This window comes from Homo sapiens, chromosome 6 (genome assembly GCF_000001405.40).
Source record: "Homo sapiens chromosome 6, GRCh38.p14 Primary Assembly".
Taxonomy (NCBI): Eukaryota; Metazoa; Chordata; class Mammalia; order Primates; family Hominidae; genus Homo; species Homo sapiens.
Window position 1 is genome coordinate 65,579,504 of NC_000006.12, and position 20,033 is coordinate 65,599,536.

At 33.1% G+C, this 20,033-nt stretch overlaps 1 protein-coding gene across 4 annotated transcripts in view; it reads right to left on the reverse strand.

Annotated features, from left to right (window-relative positions):
* Positions 1-20,033, reverse strand: part of EYS (eyes shut homolog) — a 1,987,247-nt gene that overhangs the window by 1,859,524 nt on the left and 107,690 nt on the right. The window contains exon 1 of one of the 4 annotated variants that reach the window (NM_198283.2): positions 237-301. The exons of the other annotated variants lie outside the window; for them this stretch is intronic. The gene's annotated coding sequence lies outside the window, so the exon portion shown is untranslated. Of the gene's footprint in view, positions 1-236; positions 302-20,033 lie in introns of those variants that run through there. 4 annotated transcript variants of the gene reach the window in all.

Here is a 20,033-nt window from a genome sequence, read left to right on the forward strand (position 1 = left end):
TTCTCACAGTTCTGGAAGCTGAAACTTTGAGATCAGGGTGCCAGCACGGTGAGGTTCTGGTGAGGCCTCTCTTTCTTCCTTGCAGATGACCATCTTCTCCATGAGGCCCCACGTGGCCTTACCTATGTATGTGCTATGGAGGCAGAGACACAGAAATCTGTCTCTTTCTTTTTATAAGGTCACCCATTCTATCGAGTTAGAAACCCACAGTTATAATCTCACATAAAGTTAATTACCTCCTAAAAGCCCTATCTCCAAATATAGTCACACTAAGGGTAAATGTTGCAACATATGAATTTTGAGAGGGCAAAATTCAGTCTGTAGAACCTTGTCTCCAGGGAGATAATTTGCATTGCCAGGAGACAAAAAAGGGAAGGAGACGTTTCTCACTCTACTCTTTTGTAATTTCCATCTTTTAAATGTGAATGTGAAATTTACTCAGAAAGGTAAGTTACATAAAATTTAAATAATAGGGTTATTGTATCTACATGGTCATGTAAATATTAAGTATCTCCATTACCATGGCATTTTACTAAATAATATATCAGAATATAATTAATTCAATAATTTTGTTTTACAGACCTAAGACACATGCATCAGTACTTTGTTAGGTTTTGAAAAATGTCACAGAAAAATATCTGTATCCTCAGGAAGGAACAGCCCATTAAAATATTATTCAAAATCAACAAGTATATTCCAAGATTAATTCAGCAAAAGTGGAGTGTATTTAGTAAAATTGCAAATGTTCTATTTGGAGAAAAGATTGCTTTGAAATAAAAGTTAATTCAACTCAGAGAGAAAACAACTATAAATATTAAGGATACGATCAATAAAGTTACTAAAAATATGGCTGTGCTTATTCAAGATTTAGAATCCAAACAGAACTCATTGGGTCTAGTAACTACTAGCCTGAAATTAGGAAGATTTGTAGACAACAAATTACAAAAGTAATTGAGAGACTAAGAAGATTTAGGACAATAAATGTAAGAATTCTCTTTTAATTGAAAACCTAATTTTGTAGAATGCTTAAAATATAACTAATCAGTCATAGATAAAATAGCATTTGTAAGTACTCTACACATTGCATTCTTTGAAGCAATTATTAATGATTAATACTTTACTCTGTGCTGTTATTTGAATGTCATAGATCTGTATAAAAATTAAAATGAAATGAGACAGAGTCCATTCAAAATGGCATAATGCATAATTGGATACAATTTTAACCTTGATTCCATTGTTCTATATAAAGCTACTATTTCAATTTAATATAGCTAATGTTCTAACCAGAAATTTATAATGTTAAATACTTCATCCTAAAACTTCAAGTGTCATGTCTCCCCCAGACAGGGATATTAAAGGCCATTTTTTATCTCAAGGTAAGCCTGAAATATAGATAATATATTAATATTCCAGTATTTCAAATTGTAAGCATTAAAATGTCATCTAATGAATTTTGTGGTTAAATATAATTTGACATATTTTAATCTATTCAATTGCAATGAGTAATTTTGGCACTTTGTTTCAACTTTTAAAAAAGTGAATTTCTCATAATGGATCTCTTAAGGAATTATCTATTAACATAATTAGAAATTAATACATGTTATTAATGGCTTAATCAAAGAAACTGTAAATTGATGTGGGACTTCTTTGCAACTTTGCTGTGGGTCTAATCAGTAATATTTCATGTACTCGTCTTCACCCACCCCATCCTTTATTAAATATAGAGGGGAAAAAAGTGGCTCATGTAGACTAGGACTGGTTCAAGAATTTTACAAATATATGATTTATAAAGTGATATGGAGGAGAGACATGAAAGAAAAACTGACTTATTGTACAGCAAACGTTTTAAAAGCCACTTAACAAAAATTAATGCTATATTTGCTCTATTTCTATACAATCAGAAACTATTAATAAATATATATCTTTCATCTATAATGGCCAGAATTATTCTTAGTAGGCCTCAGGAATGGTCAAAGTAAAATTTTTGCCAGGGAAACACAATAATTGCCAATGTTCAATACTTGGTGTGCCAGTCAATGAGGGAAACAAAAATGTTGCTTTACAACAATCCCTCCTAATGTTTAATGTTACTGTTAATTGCTTTATGTAAACTCTATGATCTTAGTTCCTTAGTGATGCTCTTATTAACCAAAATCCTTGTAATACTTAAATAAGTACCTATATTCACCTAACCAAAAATGTGTATATACATCATGCTTTTATTAGTCCCATTAGTAAATAATGAAAATCATTTATAAAAATGACAAATAAATATCTGTAAAAATAAAAAAATTAGTAGCAAGGTAAATCCATTATATCTCTATTATGTATACATCCAAGTCTTTAGTGCACTGTGATTCCTATTGGTGATTTTTTTCAAAATGATTTTAAAATCTAAAAGCTTGGCTGGGCATGGTGGCTCACACCTGTCATCCCAGCACTTTGGGAGGCTGAGGCCAGCAGATCATGAGGTGAGGAGTTTGAGACCAGCCTGGATAGCATGGTGAAAACCTGTTTCTACTAAAAATATATATATATATAAATTAGCCAAGTATGGTGGTGCACACCTGTAATCCCAGCTACTCGGGAGGCTGAGGCAGGACAATCGCTTGAACCCAGGAGGCGGAGGTTGCAATGAACTGAGATGGCGCCACTGCACTCCAGCCTGGTCGACAGAGTGAGACTCCATCTCAACAAATAAATAAATAAATAAATAAATAAATAAATAAAAGCTTTCTGAGAACATTTGATCTTTTACCAGTGTTTTGTTGGAAAAGCAGGTGTGAAGTTATTTCATTTATAGGGAATACTTTATATTACTTCATGAATTTCTGGAGTTATGTATTAAGACATCACCCACAGTCAGGACCAGGAAACTTAATAAATAGAAATTCAGTTTTAAGATTGTCTAACGAATTTATAAATTTCCCCTTAGTCCTGTTTATAGAGGCTTAGGCAGACTAGTTTTCAAAGAACAAAGGCTAGCTCTCATGTCAACTGTATTCATTTCTGCATGTCATTCTGAACCAAAGAAATGGATGAAACTCATCTGTACTTTTGACTGAGGGAATTACATGATATTTTGCTATCATTGGAAAACAAATAAAATGATCTTTCTTTACTTTCAACAAACCCATACACTCCCCCATCACTATCCACACACCATCATGATTCTACAGAAATAAATAAACTCATTTAGCCTATCCCAACAGAGGGATTTCACAAATTTAGAATACCATAACCAAGTAGTTTGGAATACTCCTGTACAAACATGACAGATTACATGTGTAATAAGTGACAAAGAAATACACCTAAGAAATGTTATAATTATCCCTATTTTATGGACATTTTTTGTTTTGTTTTTTGAAAGATGTAACCACATTAAAATGTTTATGCCTAGTATCTTACTTGCAAACTCTAGGAATGACTTTATAACAATAGTAGCTAACACTCATGTTACTAATATACTGATAGTGGTATACTACTATTTCATTTCATCACAGTAATGGCAAGCGGATTGTAATATTGATCCCTATAATGCAATTTTAAAAGTTATTTTTAAATTTAATTTAAGTTACATAAGTGACAAAAAAAGAAATTTGAATTCCATGTCTATAACTCAAAGGTACTGTTCTAATTGTTAGATAATACTGCTGTAAAATCTTTTTAATTCCCTTCTGCTCTGGAATAAAATCTAGGTTATAATACTCCAGATTTTAAATGAGGGCTCAAGTATACTTATTTTAATATTGTTTTCTCTTAAACTAATTTGCCGTAAGAAGAATTTTATAGAGAATATTAAATATAAAAATGCAGAGGATAGTTTAATGGTATATTTATGTCACATTTTCAGTAAGACAATTACTATGCTTTTCGTTAAGTAAGAATTACTTTATATAAGTGGTAGAAGTTTTCTTGTAGTGTTTTATACACCTTAAGGATGCCAAAAGTAAAACAAAATGGCAAGTCCGAGCCGGTATTCCACTACAAATAATATTTTAATTCTATGACTCTCATTTCATTTGGATAGCTTTGAACTCCATCTGGTCACTGACAGGAGGGAAAAAAAGTTTGAGTTTCCATTTTCATTAATATCTTCACTTTTTAAAGTGGAAAATGGAAAGCTTCAACTGCTAACAAATCAGCAACTAATACATTCATAAATGAACCTGCTCCTATAATGGTCTAAAGTGGCTCTCTGTTTAAGAAAGCAATTGATGCAATTGGACCTTCCTATTATTTTCTTTAAATAATGAAGTTATTTGTTTTTAAAATACAAGTGCATTTATATTCACAGTTTACATGAGTGGACAATATTATATTTGGTTTTATGTTTTACACAAAATAGGGATATTGACAGAATGTTAATATGTTCATATTAACATACTACCTAACATATCTTATGAACATATTACTTAATGTATCTTATGACCTAACATATCTTATGAACATATTACTTAAAATAAAAAAAAAAAATTTCAGACTACAGAAAATTAAAGCAGAAACTTTTGTTGACTGGATGAATTCTAAGGGTGAATAGGAAATATATTTCAGCCAGCTATGACAAATAGAGAAAAACACAACTGAAAAAGAACCCCAGCCATCTATCTTTGATACTATGTCTCTAGTTAGCTACATTAATTTAATAACTCATGGACTATTTCTGCATCATAGTCTTATTACCTGGAAAATAGGTAGGTTGTATTAGATCAACAGTTCTTTGCTGGATGATTTTGCATCCCCATGGGACATTTGGCAACAGTTGAAGACATTGTTTATATCACAACAGTGGGAAGGGCGTTAGGGCTGGCAATACTGGCATCTACTAGGTAAAATGGAACAGGAGAACTCCACACAACAGAAAATTATCCAATCCAAAAGAGTAATGTCAACATTAGGAGACCCTAGAACAGGCGGTATTTATGGTTTCTATATCTGGGATTTCAGGATGAGTTTTTTAGAGTTAATTGGGGAACATGAGGTAGAGTAAGGGGCTGAGATGCCTTTTTACCAATTAGGTTTTTTTCAAACAAAAATTTGAAGAATTAGTAACTTTTAGTTCCAACTGAATTATCCAGAATGTTCTATAAAATACCTTCAAACGAATCATTTTTCTTTGAAAATACTACGCTAAGGCTAATCTTTCACTTTTCAATGTGGAGGTCCCCATCCAAAGTTTATGGCATTTATTTATCCAGTCTTACAATAACATCTTACGTTGCTATATAATTATAATATGAATATTATGGATGATATACATATCTTTATAATCCATTTAAATCACTTCTAAAGCATGAATAATATATATGTCTTTTACACATGCATGTATACACACAAATACAATTTACTTATAAACCTATTAAGAAGTTAGCACTATGGGAATATTATATATATTATATATATATATAACATTTTTCATCTCTCTGTCTCCAAACTTTGTGATTTTATAATTTCAATAAAAGTACAATTTTGTTCAAACTGTATTTGTATCTTATGTTTCTGTTCATGCTTCTGCAGGATATTTTACAAGATAAAAGTGTGGTCCATTGTTATTTGCTTTACTAAAGTTCTAAATTTTAAATACTACTAAGACCACCAGGAAAATACTTTCTAATTTATTAGAAAATACTTACAATAAAGCATTAATTCGATAATTCAAGAATGCCAATATAAATACATGAAATGGAACACAGTTAAAAATAAATGTATGAACAGTCACATAAACCATTTCATGTCATCATTTTCTGTATTTACCAAAGTTATAGCTCTTTCGAATGATTATTGCTAATGTATTCATCTCTGACAAAGCACAATTATTTATTTAAATGAATGAACAAAAGAAATAAACAGACTGGCTCATTTTCATGGGTGACTGACTGAAGGAATTTAAGACTTGCTTCAATAATCCTCAATTCATGAATCTAGATGGTATAAACACATATTGATAATTTTAAAACTAAAATAATCAAAAATGTACATTAAAATATTTTTAAAATAAACTGAATTATTATTCATGTAAAGAATTTGAAGTGATATAAAAATGTTAAATAAATAATACAATGCAATTCAGTATATTATTTCAATAACAGTTTTTAGTGTACTCTTTGAAGCAGAAATATTATAACATTCTTTGTCATAATGAGAAGACAATTTTAAACATCTTTTCCAAATATTAAGGTTGTCTGGCATATGAGACTACATTTATGTGACTGTATGTTGTATTTCAATGATGAATGAGTTTTACCTAGAAAAGATTAATAGAAGATTTTAATAAAAGTAAACTATATGAGAGTCTTACAGTTATTGTTGTAAGAGCTAAAATAAAAGCTTCACTTATAGAAAAAAATACTAAAAGGTTTAGTAACTACTCAATATGAATTTGCCTGTTACTAAAATATTTTATTATTAGGTTGTTGCAAAAGTAATTGTGGCTTTTACCATTACTTTTAAAGGCAAAAAGAGCAATTACTTGTGCACCTAGCTATTCATAGAAGGAGGAAAATCAATATTTAATTTAACATTCCATGTTATGTGGCCACTCACTTATTTGGTGGTTTCAGGCTCCATTTTGGGGAATTCTACAGTTTCTTTATGGTTTCAGGAATGTCTGCATTAGGAGAGGTTGGGAGAGAGGGTATCTTGTTGGATGTAATTTCTTCATTTTACTTTAATCAAAATAGTTTCTCTTGTAACTATACACATAGAGAATTTCAGAAGAGGCTTTTAACTGAACAGAAGGATTTATAGAACAACAACAAAGGTAGATAATTTCAAATTAATATGGTAATATGCACTGCTCTTACACTGATCTCTTGGTCAAGTAATTTAAAACAAGAATTAAAAACTAAAATTGAAATTTAGGTAATTAAATTCTATGAATAATTTTATAACCAAAAGGGGCAACTATTGAGATGCTGGAGATTAAGGGTATCCTATCTTAAGGAATGTAGCCATTGTGGAATTAGGACAGCACTTTTAAATGTAGAACATACCTGCATTTGTTTCTTGTCAAGTTCACCATTAGAGACAAAACTGATTGTCAGAACTGTGGAACATTTGAGTAGCAACATACTTTTTATACTGACAATTAGGTTGAAACAACCGAAGAATGAAACGCATAAAGAAGTGTGTTCATGCCCACCACAGAATAAGAATTGCACTTAAAAAGTTAAGGAAATATAATTTTGATAGGAAAATATTTGTTATTAGAGAGAATAAAGAAATTTTGTAAAGTAAAAAATAAACCCATTGACATATTGAGTAGTAGTGTGTACATTCCCTGTCCAATTCTATTACAAGCAAGTCTAAATCTAGAGCCACTAAAATTTCTATGATAGACAGTTTATCTTTAACTAGATGTATTTTTTCTGTTCAACTAAAATGCCTTAGTAATTTCAGTACGATTTTTTTTCTTAGATGTCAAACATCTTTTAAAATTCAAGTTATGGATCACTTAACTCTAAATACATGCTTTTATTTTATTTCCAAAGCTTAGAAGACAAAGATTATTAAAATCTGAGTGTTCAAATATAAAATATCTTGAAGTATATGCATTAAATGTTCCATATTTTAGGCTACCATTGAGAAGATGTTTCTCTAAGCAACATTTGATAAGACTAATCATGAAACTAAACAGCCAGCTGTTTAGATTATAGTACAATCCTTGCTGCCATGTATAACACTATTATCATCATTGGTTTTATAATCCTTTGGCTCAACTTACTACTTACTGGAGATAGCCGAAGAGAACTAACAAAGCTTTTAATGTGATGGTGTTAAAAGGTGATATGGTTCAGTTGTGTCCCCACCCAAATCTCATCTTAAATTGTAGTTCCCATAATCCCCAGGTATCGTGAGAGGGACCCCATGGGAGGTAATTGAATCGTGGGGGCCATGTCCCCAGTGCTATTCTCATGATAGTGAGAAAGTTCTCATGAGATCTGATGGTTTTTGTAAGGGGCTTCCCCCTTCCCTTAGCTCTCTCCTTCCTGCCGCCATGTGAAGAAAGAGGTGATTGCTTCCCCTTCTGCCGTGACTGCAAATTTCCTGGGGCCTCTTCAGCCCTGCAGATCTGTGAGTCAATTAAACTGCCTTCCTTTATAAATACTCAGTCTCAGGTATGTCTTCATTGGCAGTGTGAGAATGGACTTACACGAAAGGCGAACATAAATCCCTTTCTATTGGGACAACAGTATTTGGAGTTAAGAGTTAAAAAGAAAACATAAAAGGATGAACTGTAAACCTTCATTCAAAAATAAAACAGCATATTATATTACACTTTCATATGCAATAATATTTTTAAAAGTTCAATGTAAGTATAAATTTGTGTGAGATATAACCAACTTATTATAGTTGTAGTTTCATAAATTAAAAGATGTGGATGAAGTTCCAAGATTTGAAATTACTACGCTTTTATTATCAAAGTTAAAGATGGCAGAGTAATAATAATTATCTTAAGTTTGAACAATAAATCATTCAGAGGGTGGTGCCCAGCTGGTTGTTTACTTTTCCCCTTAGAGAAGATTGAGGAAATAGTATTAAGATTTACTATTAGAAAGATGTTTAGAAGAATAATTTTGTGACAGTGATTAAATTCTAAAATCCTTGATCCAAAAGGGAATTGAGAGTATGAAATTAGATAATGAAATTTCCTGCTGTGTATCACATGCCATCACTGAATAAATTCTCTTGCCACATATTTTTGTATTGTGTTTCTTTTCCTCTGTGTCATAAACCTCTATCCACCTCATTTAACATTTTTACTGATTTTTTTCTCCCATAAATCATATTCTTATTGTGCCAAATACTATTAATATAAAATCTAACAGGCTAACATAAAGAAAGAGATGTCACTTTATCCTTAGAGGTATCTCCAGATGTGGGCCTGTCATGTGGCGGGGGGAGTATCTGCTGAGCCTCTTAAGACTGTGGAGATGGCAGAAGCAGTTTTATGCCTCTGAGGTCTCAGCAAATTGGCATCAGTCACACTTACCTGTCTGTTTCCTTCACTGATCTCTTTTAAACTATTTCTAAACCTTCCCCCTGTCCATATCGTGCCTCTGTATTCGAAATATAATATTATTAGACACAGAATTTTACTTAAAAATACCTACTCACAGGAAAATAATGAGACTTTCTCAAAGAAAGATCATTCCTATATTTTTGGCAAAGGGATGGGCTCCTCTGGGAAGCCTTTCAGAGAGCTACATTGACACATTTGTATAAAAATAAATGAAACAGTATTCATCATAACTACGTGTCTCTTGCAGGATTCTATAACTCCTAAACTAACATTCTGCAGATGGCATGCCAATGTGTTCAAGAGGGATCATATATAATTTGGATAGTTTTGATATATTAATAGGATATATACATCAGGCTTTCTTTTTAAAAAGTGAAATATATATGATCTTAGAGGCAAATCAATGACTTTTATATTTTTGAAACCCCTAAATTAACTTTTTAAGCCAAATGAGGCTATTATATAATAGTCATCATTCTTTAAAAGTTTCTACTTCCATTTCTTCCCCTCCTGATAAGTTTATTTTCTCCTGTATCACACCACTCAAATTTCTAGTAACCTCTTAACTTCCAAAAGGAATAATGGTGTGTTCCTCATGCCCTGTGACTTCCTACCAGGATTTGCTTACAGTCACTATCCCTGAATGGAAACTATTTTTCTCTGATCCCAAGATCCTAAGCAGAGCATTGTGTGTATGTTGTACTCTACTTCCAACCAACCCTTTAAAGCACCAGGCACTCTGCATGTTGCATTCTGGCCAGAGTGCACTGCTTTGAATTCCTCTCATTTGACTCTTTGACGATCCTTACTCAGTGCTCTTCTTCAGCCTGTTTCGTCAGTCTGCAATTATCTTTTTCTTCTTTACCTCCAGTTGAAATTTTACTTCTATTTCAATATCTATTTTAAATACTTTCTCCTTCTAATGATTACCCTCACACCCACTTAAGTACACACACTTGTACACACACTCACTACCTCTCTAGGTAGAAATGGTTGATTCTTATCTTGAATTCTGCTTGTACTCTCACGTAGCAAATTTTTTCAAACAGCCAATATATAAACTTCAATTGGACTTATCGCTGTATTGAAGGCCCAGATTATTATTTTTTAGAAATTGGCTACATTCTAGAATGCCTAGAAAACCAAACTAGATTGTATACTTAAAAAAATTAAATTAAATCTTAAAAGTACATATTAATATTTCTAATAATTCAGCTAAGAAAAAACACTTTCTCTGAATGTAGCATTTTACCATTTTCCTGACATTTCTATTTTCTAATGTATTAGAAATAAATGTTAAAGGTTTTGGGGGGTGATAATGGCCTATGTTTTAACTTCGGCTTAATGTTTATTAATGTGTTACTTCTGAAATCAATTATTTCTATAATTGTTAAATATGTCTTTATAATGTCTACAATTGTTAAATATATCTTTATAATTTAAAAAATCATATGCTGAAAGCAAAACCATTGGCAAAATGAACGCGTTGGACATTTTTAAAGCATATAAGAAAGAAAGAAAGGATTACAGCACAATACTAGAGACCTTAGTGCTTAATAAAATTCTATGTGTTTTCCCACAATTCCACTTTAATATTAAGTGTAATTGTAAAATGATTCTGAAGATGTAGCAAGATGAGTGTCAATTATAGGCAAAAGCCAGGAAAGGGTAGCATGGAACCTTCTAGTTCTTTCTTCCACTACCACAGTACCCAATGAAGCAATGTGCAACAGATGGTAGAGGCTCCATCAACCTGAAGCAGAATATCCTGCTGCCTACAATACACATAGACATATCAACACAAAACTTTTTCTTTTTAAATTTTTAACTGACACGTAATATTTATACATATTTATGGGATACAGTGTGATGTTTCAATACATGTATAAAATATGTAATTATTAGGGTAACTAGCATATCTATAACCTCAAATATTTATCATTTCTTTGTGGTGAGAACATTCCAAATTCTCTTTTCTACCTATTTAAAAATATACACTATATTATTGTTAACTATAGTCACTTGACTGTACAACAGAACACTAAACATTATTCTTGCTATCTCACTGTAACTTTGTACCCACTGGACAACTTCTTATTCCCCCACTCCCAAATCCCTCTAGGCCTCTGCTAGCAACTATTCTACTCTTTACTTCTAGAAGATCAACTTTTGAAGATTCCGTTTATGAGATCACGTGGTATTTGTCTTTCTATGCCTGGCTTGTTTCACTTAACATATTGTCCTCCAGGCAATTTCGTGTTGCCTCAAAAAACAGAATTTTAATGTTTTTTTTTTATGGCTGCATAATATTACATTGGGTAAATATACCACTTTTTTTTTTTATCCATTCTTCAGTTGATGGACACTTAGATTCCATAACTTGGCTATTGTGAATAGTGCTACAATAAACATAAGAGTTCAGATATTTCTTCATCATATTTATTTCATTTCCTGTGAATATATACCCAGTGCTGGGATTGCTATATCATACTAAAGTTCAATTTTTAATTATTTGAGGGATCTCCATACTTTTTTCCAAAATGGCTGCACTAATTTACATTCCCACCAACAGTGTGTGAAGGTTCCCCTTTCTCACCACATGGCCTCTCCAACATTTGTTATTTTTTGTCTTTTGATAATAGCCATTGAAGGTGAGGTGAGATGGTATTTTACAGTGGTTTGTTTGCTTGTTTTGAGACAGGGTCTCACTCTGTCACCCAGGCTGGAATACAGTGGTGCCATCACAGCTTATTGCAGCCCTGACTCCATCTCAATCAATCCTCCCCCCTCAGCCTCCCAAGTAGCTACTTACTATATACTTAATCTGTGTGTGTGTGTGTATGTGTATATATATGTGTGTGCCTGTGTGTGTTTCTCATAATGCCTTTCCATAATGTAAGGAACATATTGGGAAGGTCCTTGGAATTACAGTAAACACAATACATTTAAAAGAAAACAACCCATTTCATAGTTCTAGATATTATCTTTTCTCTTTCTCTTTCTAGTTCTTGGTTTATTTTCTTGCCTTTTTAGACTAAATCTCTGACTCACTTTTTGAAGCTCCTAATAATGCAAAAATTTCTTCTGAATTTACTAATTTAACCTCTTTTGTTATATTCACCCACACATTATATGCATGTCACCATTCTCTCTGTCTGGAATAATCTTTCCCCTGATTTTTGCCTGGTTATGTACTACTGATTCTTCAGCTATCACTTGACATGCCTTTGCGTTGGAAAACCTCTGGGTCCTGGACTTATATACTCTCTCATAATTTGCATTCTTAACTCTTTTTATTCTTAACAAAATTGAAAATTAAATTATTTTTTATATTTAATAAGGCATTTCTGTATCCACCATTAAGCCATATGCTACCTAAAGACAAGCACCATGTGTCATTATCTCTGACATATCTTGTCACAGGCAAGCACAGTGCTATGATGAGAACATAATAGATACACAAAAGCATGTGATGGATAACTGCAGTAACTTATAATCAACTATTTTGAAAATGGTATTTCTAGGCTAATCATACTTAGCATCATTGTATCAATTTGTATGTTCATCTTAATATTCACTAATTTTGATCATTTTTTCAAAACACATTTCTATTCTATAGCTTTCACTTTTCATAGTTAATTTAAAGTTTTCTAAAAAATGAACATTTTCATAACTTTAAAAAAAGCCTTTATCAATTATTCTAACAGCATTCAGAGTAAAAGGCAACTTAATTTGATTGATTAATTTTGGATTTAGTTAAGTTAGAAGTTGCCAAATTATAATATAGTATATAACTGAATTTTATATATGTTAGATATTTACAAATTATGCATTGAATTCAAGTTTTAATATTTAACATCTGGTAACTTTTATGAAACAGATATTTTATTACTATATTTCAAAGTTTCCTGTTTTATTGCATTTTATTTACTTGAAATAAATAAACAACTGAAATACAGGATGAAGATAACAACAAAACTCACAGCTAACATTTATCATGAGCAGGTATAGGATAAGTGATTGACATATGCTATCTTATGTAACCCTCACAACCACCCAGAGGGGTAAACGCCACTATTCTCATTTAGACATGAGGAAACTATAGTCATAACTAGGTATCCAGTTCTAAAAAAGGAGCTTAACTCAAATGCTTGAGGCCCTGCCATGATGCACCACTACTTCATTGCATTAAACACAGTTTAAAATTAAACTACACATATCCTTAAAATTTATCTGTGGGAGCAGGAGAAATAAAACTAAGAAGAATGGTTGGTTTTATTAAAATCCCTTTCCTAATGTCATTGAGCAGTACAACATGTTTATAATTAAAATGAATGAAACTTAACATTGGCTTTATTCTTTTGTGATTCCTGCACGTAGCATCCTTCTCTACCACATAGCACAACATTATGGACAACAGCATGAGAACCATCTTTAATTCTGCCTCCTGTTTCCAGTAACTCCAGCAATAGGAGTCAATGTTGAAGATAATATGTAAATAAATCACTAATAATTCAGCATTACCCCTAGGTGGGCTAGGGAAGAGCATAAATTATTTCAATGTACAGTCCAGTAAATCCTTTGTTTTTGGTCTCTGATGCGTAACCATTAAAGATGCACCTTATTAAGAAATTCTTATGTAACATTTCTAGACATAAATGTCATCTGTCTTTCCAAAACTGTCTTTTAAAACAAACTCCTATTCAGCTATCTTTACATAGTTGAGTAGTATAGGACATTTGTTAAACATAAATGGAAAAAACCATATTCTTCAGAAACAAAATATTATTCATATTAGAAGATCAAATGGAGACTTTTTGCTTCTCTATAATATTTTATTACTTCTCTGTTTTTCTTCTGATACTTCGGGCGAAACTGGTGCAAGCTAAGAGTTGAAAATCAATGCCTTAGGGCATGGGCTTTTAATACCACTACATATTAGAATCACCTTGAAATAGTAAATACATGAAAGCTGACAGCCCACCTCAGAACATTTAAGTTATAATTGGATGGGGCCAGAATGTTTAGAGTTTGAAAAGTTTCAAGGTGTCTCTCATATGCATACACTATTGAAAACTACTCTTAAGAGGTAAGAAACCTAAACAAATAAAGTCTATTCTTAAAATTCAATTTTTCTACTTACTCTCCCATAGCAAATTCATGTATTTCCCACGATATTATTTTTTTATTCTCCCCATATACCTTACAAAGAGGTCATTAGTACTCTAATTATATTTTGTCCTTCTCTTTAGGAAGTGTTTCTGTCAGGTATTATGATTATTTTACTTTATAATTATAATGCAATAATATTTTGCATTAAAAATTAATTAACACATAGAATGTACCAGGTATTGTTCCAAAAAACTTTTCCAATACTGAGTCTACAGCACTATTGCTATCTTCATTTCACAAACAAGGAACTTGGAGCATAGAGAAGGTCAAATAACTTGACTAAAAATCAGTCAGCTGTTAGGTAGCATAGACATGATACAACCCCAGAGCAGCATGGTGCTTCACTAATAATAACAAAATAATGAGTTGATAGTTATATAGCAATTAGAACAGCTCTGGCAAGTGTTAGGTTATTGCTTACTTTACTATTATCATTATGATCATTATTATTATTATTTACTGTGTGATTACCATGTGCTAGGCATAATGCTAAGAACTTTACATAGTTACATGGTTGTATATGCTTTATTTCATTTTCACCTCACAATATCCCTGTGAGATGAGAACACTTATTGCTGTAAGCAACTTGTTTCAGTCACCCAACCAATAAGCAGATGAGCCTGAACAAAAACCCATAGTTAAAACCATGGCGTTTTTCTTTTTCATTTTGTATCCTGTACAGGATTTAATAATAGTTTTCTCAAACAGTAGTAAACTATTATTTACTGAATTGAATTAAATTGAATTTGTATATCTATGATTCAAACTTAGTTACATTACTTTGCAGTAGAGACATTTTCCTTTTTTTATATATATTTGTGTCTGTCTTATTTAATATCTCTTAGCCTGACGTTCTTAAAAAATATCAGTTTATCAGATGAGTAGATTGCAAAAATTTTCTCCCATTCTGTAGGTTGCCTGTTCATTCTGATGGTAGTTTCTTTTGCTGTGCAGAAGCTCTTTGGTTTAATTAGATTCCCTTTGTCAACTTTGGCTTTTGTTGCCATTGCTTTTGGTGTTTTAGACATGAAGTCCTTGCCCATGCCTATGTCCTGAATGGTATTGCCTAGGTTTTCTTCTAGGGTTTTTATGGTTTTAGGTCTAACATTTAAGTCTTTAATCCATCTTGAACTAATTTTTGTATAAGGTGTAAGGAAGGGATCCAGTTTCAGCTTTCTACATATGGCTAGCCAGTTTTCCCAGCACCATTTATTAAATAGGGAATCCTTTCCCCATTTCTTGTTTTGGTCAGGTTTGCCAAAGATCAGGTGGTTGTAGATGTGTGGTATTATTTCTGAGGGCTCTGTTCTGTTCCATTGGTCTGTATCTCTGTTTTGGTACCAGTACCATGCTGTTTTGGTTAGTGTAGCCTTGTAGTATAGTTTGATAAACTGGATTAAGAAAATGTGGCACATATACACCATGGAATACTATTCAGCCATAAAAAAACGATGAGTTCATGTCCTTTGTAGGGACATGGATGAAGCTGGAAACCATCATTCTCAGCAAACTATCGCAAGAACAAAAAACCAAACACCACATGTTCTCACTCATAGGTGGGAACTGAACAATGAGAACACATGGACACAGCAAGGGGAATATCACACACTGGGTCCTGTTGTGTGGTAGGTGGACAGGGGAGGGATAGCATTAGGAGATATACCTAATGTAAATGACAAGTTAATGGGTGCAGCACACCAACATGGAACATGTATACATATGTAACAAACCTGCACGTTGTGCACATGTACCCTAGAACTTAAAGTATAATTAAAAAAAAAAAAAATCCATCATTCACATAACCTTAAGCCAATGACCTCCACAAGCTTCACTTTCCTTATCTGTAAATTCAGATAATGGTACTTACTTCACAGGACCATTTGGAATCTAAGGAGTTAATGCATGTAAAATACCTAGGACATAAAGCGTCAATAAAACAGCTCTTTTATCTCAAAAAAAAAAAAATCAGTTTAGTTAAATAACGGTTTATCTCTTTGGGAAATGTAAGAGAGAAAACAGTCTAGAATTGCGACATCACTGTCTTTTCACCAAATACAGAATATGGGTGTGGTAGGCAGCTTCTAAGGTGACCGCCAATGATCTCTGACTCTTGGTATTCCTACTGTTGAGTCTGGATTGGATTTAAAGACTTGTTTTTAATGAATGGAAAATATCAGAAATAATGGGATATTACTTTTGAGATTAAGTTATAAAAAGAAAGTATCTTCAGCCTTGAGCTCTGAGTGTTGCTATTTCTCTCTTCAACCCCCTATCTCAGTGGAAAAACAGCCTATTGCGAGCACCCCTATGAGGAGAGAGGTCCATCTGAAGATGAATTGATATCTCTCATCAACAGCCGGTAAAATTCTGAGGCCTGCCTATAGCTACATGAGTGAGTGTGAAAGAGCGTCTTTTGAGGCCTACTGTCAGTCCCTTTGACAAGTTTTGGGGTGGATTATCTTCCAATTCAGCTTTAAGATGACTGTGGCTAAATAACATCTTGGATAAGCTGATTCACTTCGGTGTCCTTAGAGACCTTGAGCCAGAGGAACAAAACTGAACTACATTCACAATTGTGAGATAAGTTTTTTCTTAAGACACTTCATTTGGGGATAAATTTTTATGCAGCAATAGATAACTAATAATTATATTTTGGTTATGTGATATATGTGAATTCATTTTGGAATCTTCACATAAACTTCAAACAGATAGATATGTATGCAGCTAGAACCAAATAAAAACAAAGGCCTACATTACTGAATATTGGGAAAGATGTGATTTTTATGTAAATGCAACATATGTGCAGATAACAAAAATGTGACCAATATGAATCCTGAAATGAAAGACAGGAGCAGGCACTATGAATTACTGGTTTTCATGTACAGTGAGGCTTCTGTCACAGACCAATTCTCCACAGCATATTCTAGGTTAAATGCAGGAAGAATTTTTTTTTTTAAGTAAAGGTGCTTGATAATTCTCCTTATTAATGCCAAATATGTCAGTAGGCTTTCCACAAAAAAATAAGGAATGGTACATCATTTTCTTACTTTTTATTTATAAAACTAGAAATATTCATTACAATTATAAAAATTGATTTGGATAACAAAGCATTTAAAATTGATATGGATGAAAAAGCATTGTTAATATCTTATTCTAAGTATTTAGTGGGATGATAAGATTTTTGTTTCAGTAGTTCTAACAGAACCAAGTCATTAATTAGGGAAATGATAGTCCTTCAAGGACATCATTAGAATGATGAGCTTCTGCTTTCAACAAAGAGAGAAGCCAGAGAACCGAAGTAACTCAAATTTGATACAGATTCACAAAGGATCAGAAGTTCAAAACATACTAATGCATATGAACATTATATTAGAGACCACTGCATCCCAAACTGGTATTTTACCTAATAATATATAAGCAGTTATAATATTTTTAAAAATGATTCCTGCTCAAATAAGTTTGAGAAAAAAATGCTGGTTAGACAGGCTTGTTAATTGTAGGGCTCTCCTGTGCTTTAAATTACTAATACGCACGATTAATCTCTAAGAGTGAACCAAGAAACAGCATTTCCTACCTTCATTTGAGCATTGAGATTTTTGTGAAGGCTAAACAATTAGCCTCGCCCAGAGTAATGTTCCATGGAACAATAAATGAGGAACACTCTTAAGTATCATAATTCAAAGAGTTCACAGTAAGCTACAAGAAAGCAGGAACCACCTTTAGCCACTCCCAGTGTACTCCCAGTACTAAGTACAGTACTGACAGTGCAGGCTTTTACTAAGAAATTACTGATGAATGAATGGATAGACACCCCCAAACTGTAAGTTGGAAAGTATTAGCTACATGCATATATTATTTTCAATTGTAGCCTTGCATCAAATAATGATTTATTTCTCTTCATCTTTCTACCAGCATCTCAATGCAAGGTCACTTCAGAAGTCTGGAGGCTTCTATAACAGCACACAGGATCAAAGGAAGGACCCTCCACTCAAGAATAATCTGTCATGACTGCGGCTAATATCAACATTATCCAAGACCTTATTTAGGTTCCTTGAAAGCTGGTATCTGTGCAGCTTCCATTCAGGTGGAAGGTACTGAAATAATCATAGACTGGCAAAAATGGCCAAGCGCAGTGGCTCACACCTGTAATCCCAATACTTTGGGAGGTCAAGGCGGGCAGATCACTCGAGCTCAGTAGTTCGAAACCAGCATGGGCAACATGGGAAAACCCTGTCTCAACTGAAATAAAAAAGTTAACTGGACATGGTGGCATGCACCTGTAGTCTCAGCTGCTCAGGAAGCTGAGGTGGGAGGATCATTTGAGCCTGGGAAGTCAAGGCTGCAGTGAGCTGTGATCCGGCCACTGCACTCTAAACCTGGCAACAGAACGAAACCTTGTCAAAACAAAAACAAAACAAAACAAAACAAACAAACAAACAAACAAACTCTATTTTTAAGTCCTCACTGCTAAATGCAAAATTTTCTACCACAGGGTGGTAGTAATAGATTTCTGTTATTGAGAAGACCCTCCTCCCCACCCACCCCCCCCCCAAAAAAAAAAACAAAAACTTTTCTCTCCTGGTATTTAGTACTTCCTTCTTTTTTTTCTCTTTTATCAGGAAAACTGATATACTATTTTCAATGAGTTTTGGATTTTCTAAGGGCACACACAGAGAGAATAACTTTAGGCTACTTCTTGAAGATATAATTCAATGATTTTTAACCAATATTTATGCCATCCAGCATCACCTGGAGTATAGCCAATCAAACAAAGCATATGAACCAAGTAATCACACAATATCTGCATTGATGTGTTGCCTACATGCAGCAGAATGATCTGGATAGCTCACCAAAAACATAATTCATATATACCTTTTTTACTCCATTTGCCAACATACTTTATTTCAGAGAAATTTTAAATTATATCTCAGCTGTTTCTCAGAGCTCCTTTGTGGAAATTACATCCTGGTTTCTGTTCCATACTTGAGTAGACTACAGGCTTTCCAGTACATTGTCCATTGGACCAAAATCTGGAGCAAGAGAAATAGTGTTATGGTAGTCAGGACACAGTAGCTGGAGCCAAACTATCTCAGTTCAAATTTTCGCTCTGTCACTTACTAAGTCTTTATCCTTGAACGTATTATTTAACCTCTTTGCCTCATTTTCCACAACTGTAATCAAAGGGAGTAGTAATAGTATGAGTTAGGGTCATCACTTAAATTGAGTGTATTAATACATGCATCACTTAGAACAGGTGTGTGGTGTATATATCTATATCTATATTTATATATCTATATCTATACAATCATCCCTCAGTATCCTCAGGGGATTGGGTTCAGGACTGCCCGCATATACCAAAATCCATGCATACTCAAGTCCCGCAGTCAGCCTTGTGGAAATCATGGACAAAAAATGTTGGCCTTCCATATATGCGGATTTAGCTTCCTGCAAATACTATGTTTCTATCTGATTTTGGCAGATGAATGTGAATGAGGAACCCACCTATAGTGATGGCCAACTGTAATTATTGAAAAAAATCTGCATATAAATGGATCTGCCTAGTTCAAACCATGTTGTTCAACGGTAAACTGTATATCTCTTCTGGACTCTCCATTTGGAAACACATGGACCCAGAGGATTTCTTCCTTTGCTTGTTTATTTTTATGTGAGTTTGGGCCCACATTTATCTCTATTGGCTGATCCAGAAGATTCACAGAGGTTATGTTCTTCATCTTGCTATCCCAACCGTCAGGTCCAAGACTTTGTATTATCTTTTTCTCTTACTTCATTGACTTGTAGATGCCCCTGGTCCTTGATCCATCTTTGTGAACTTAATGAT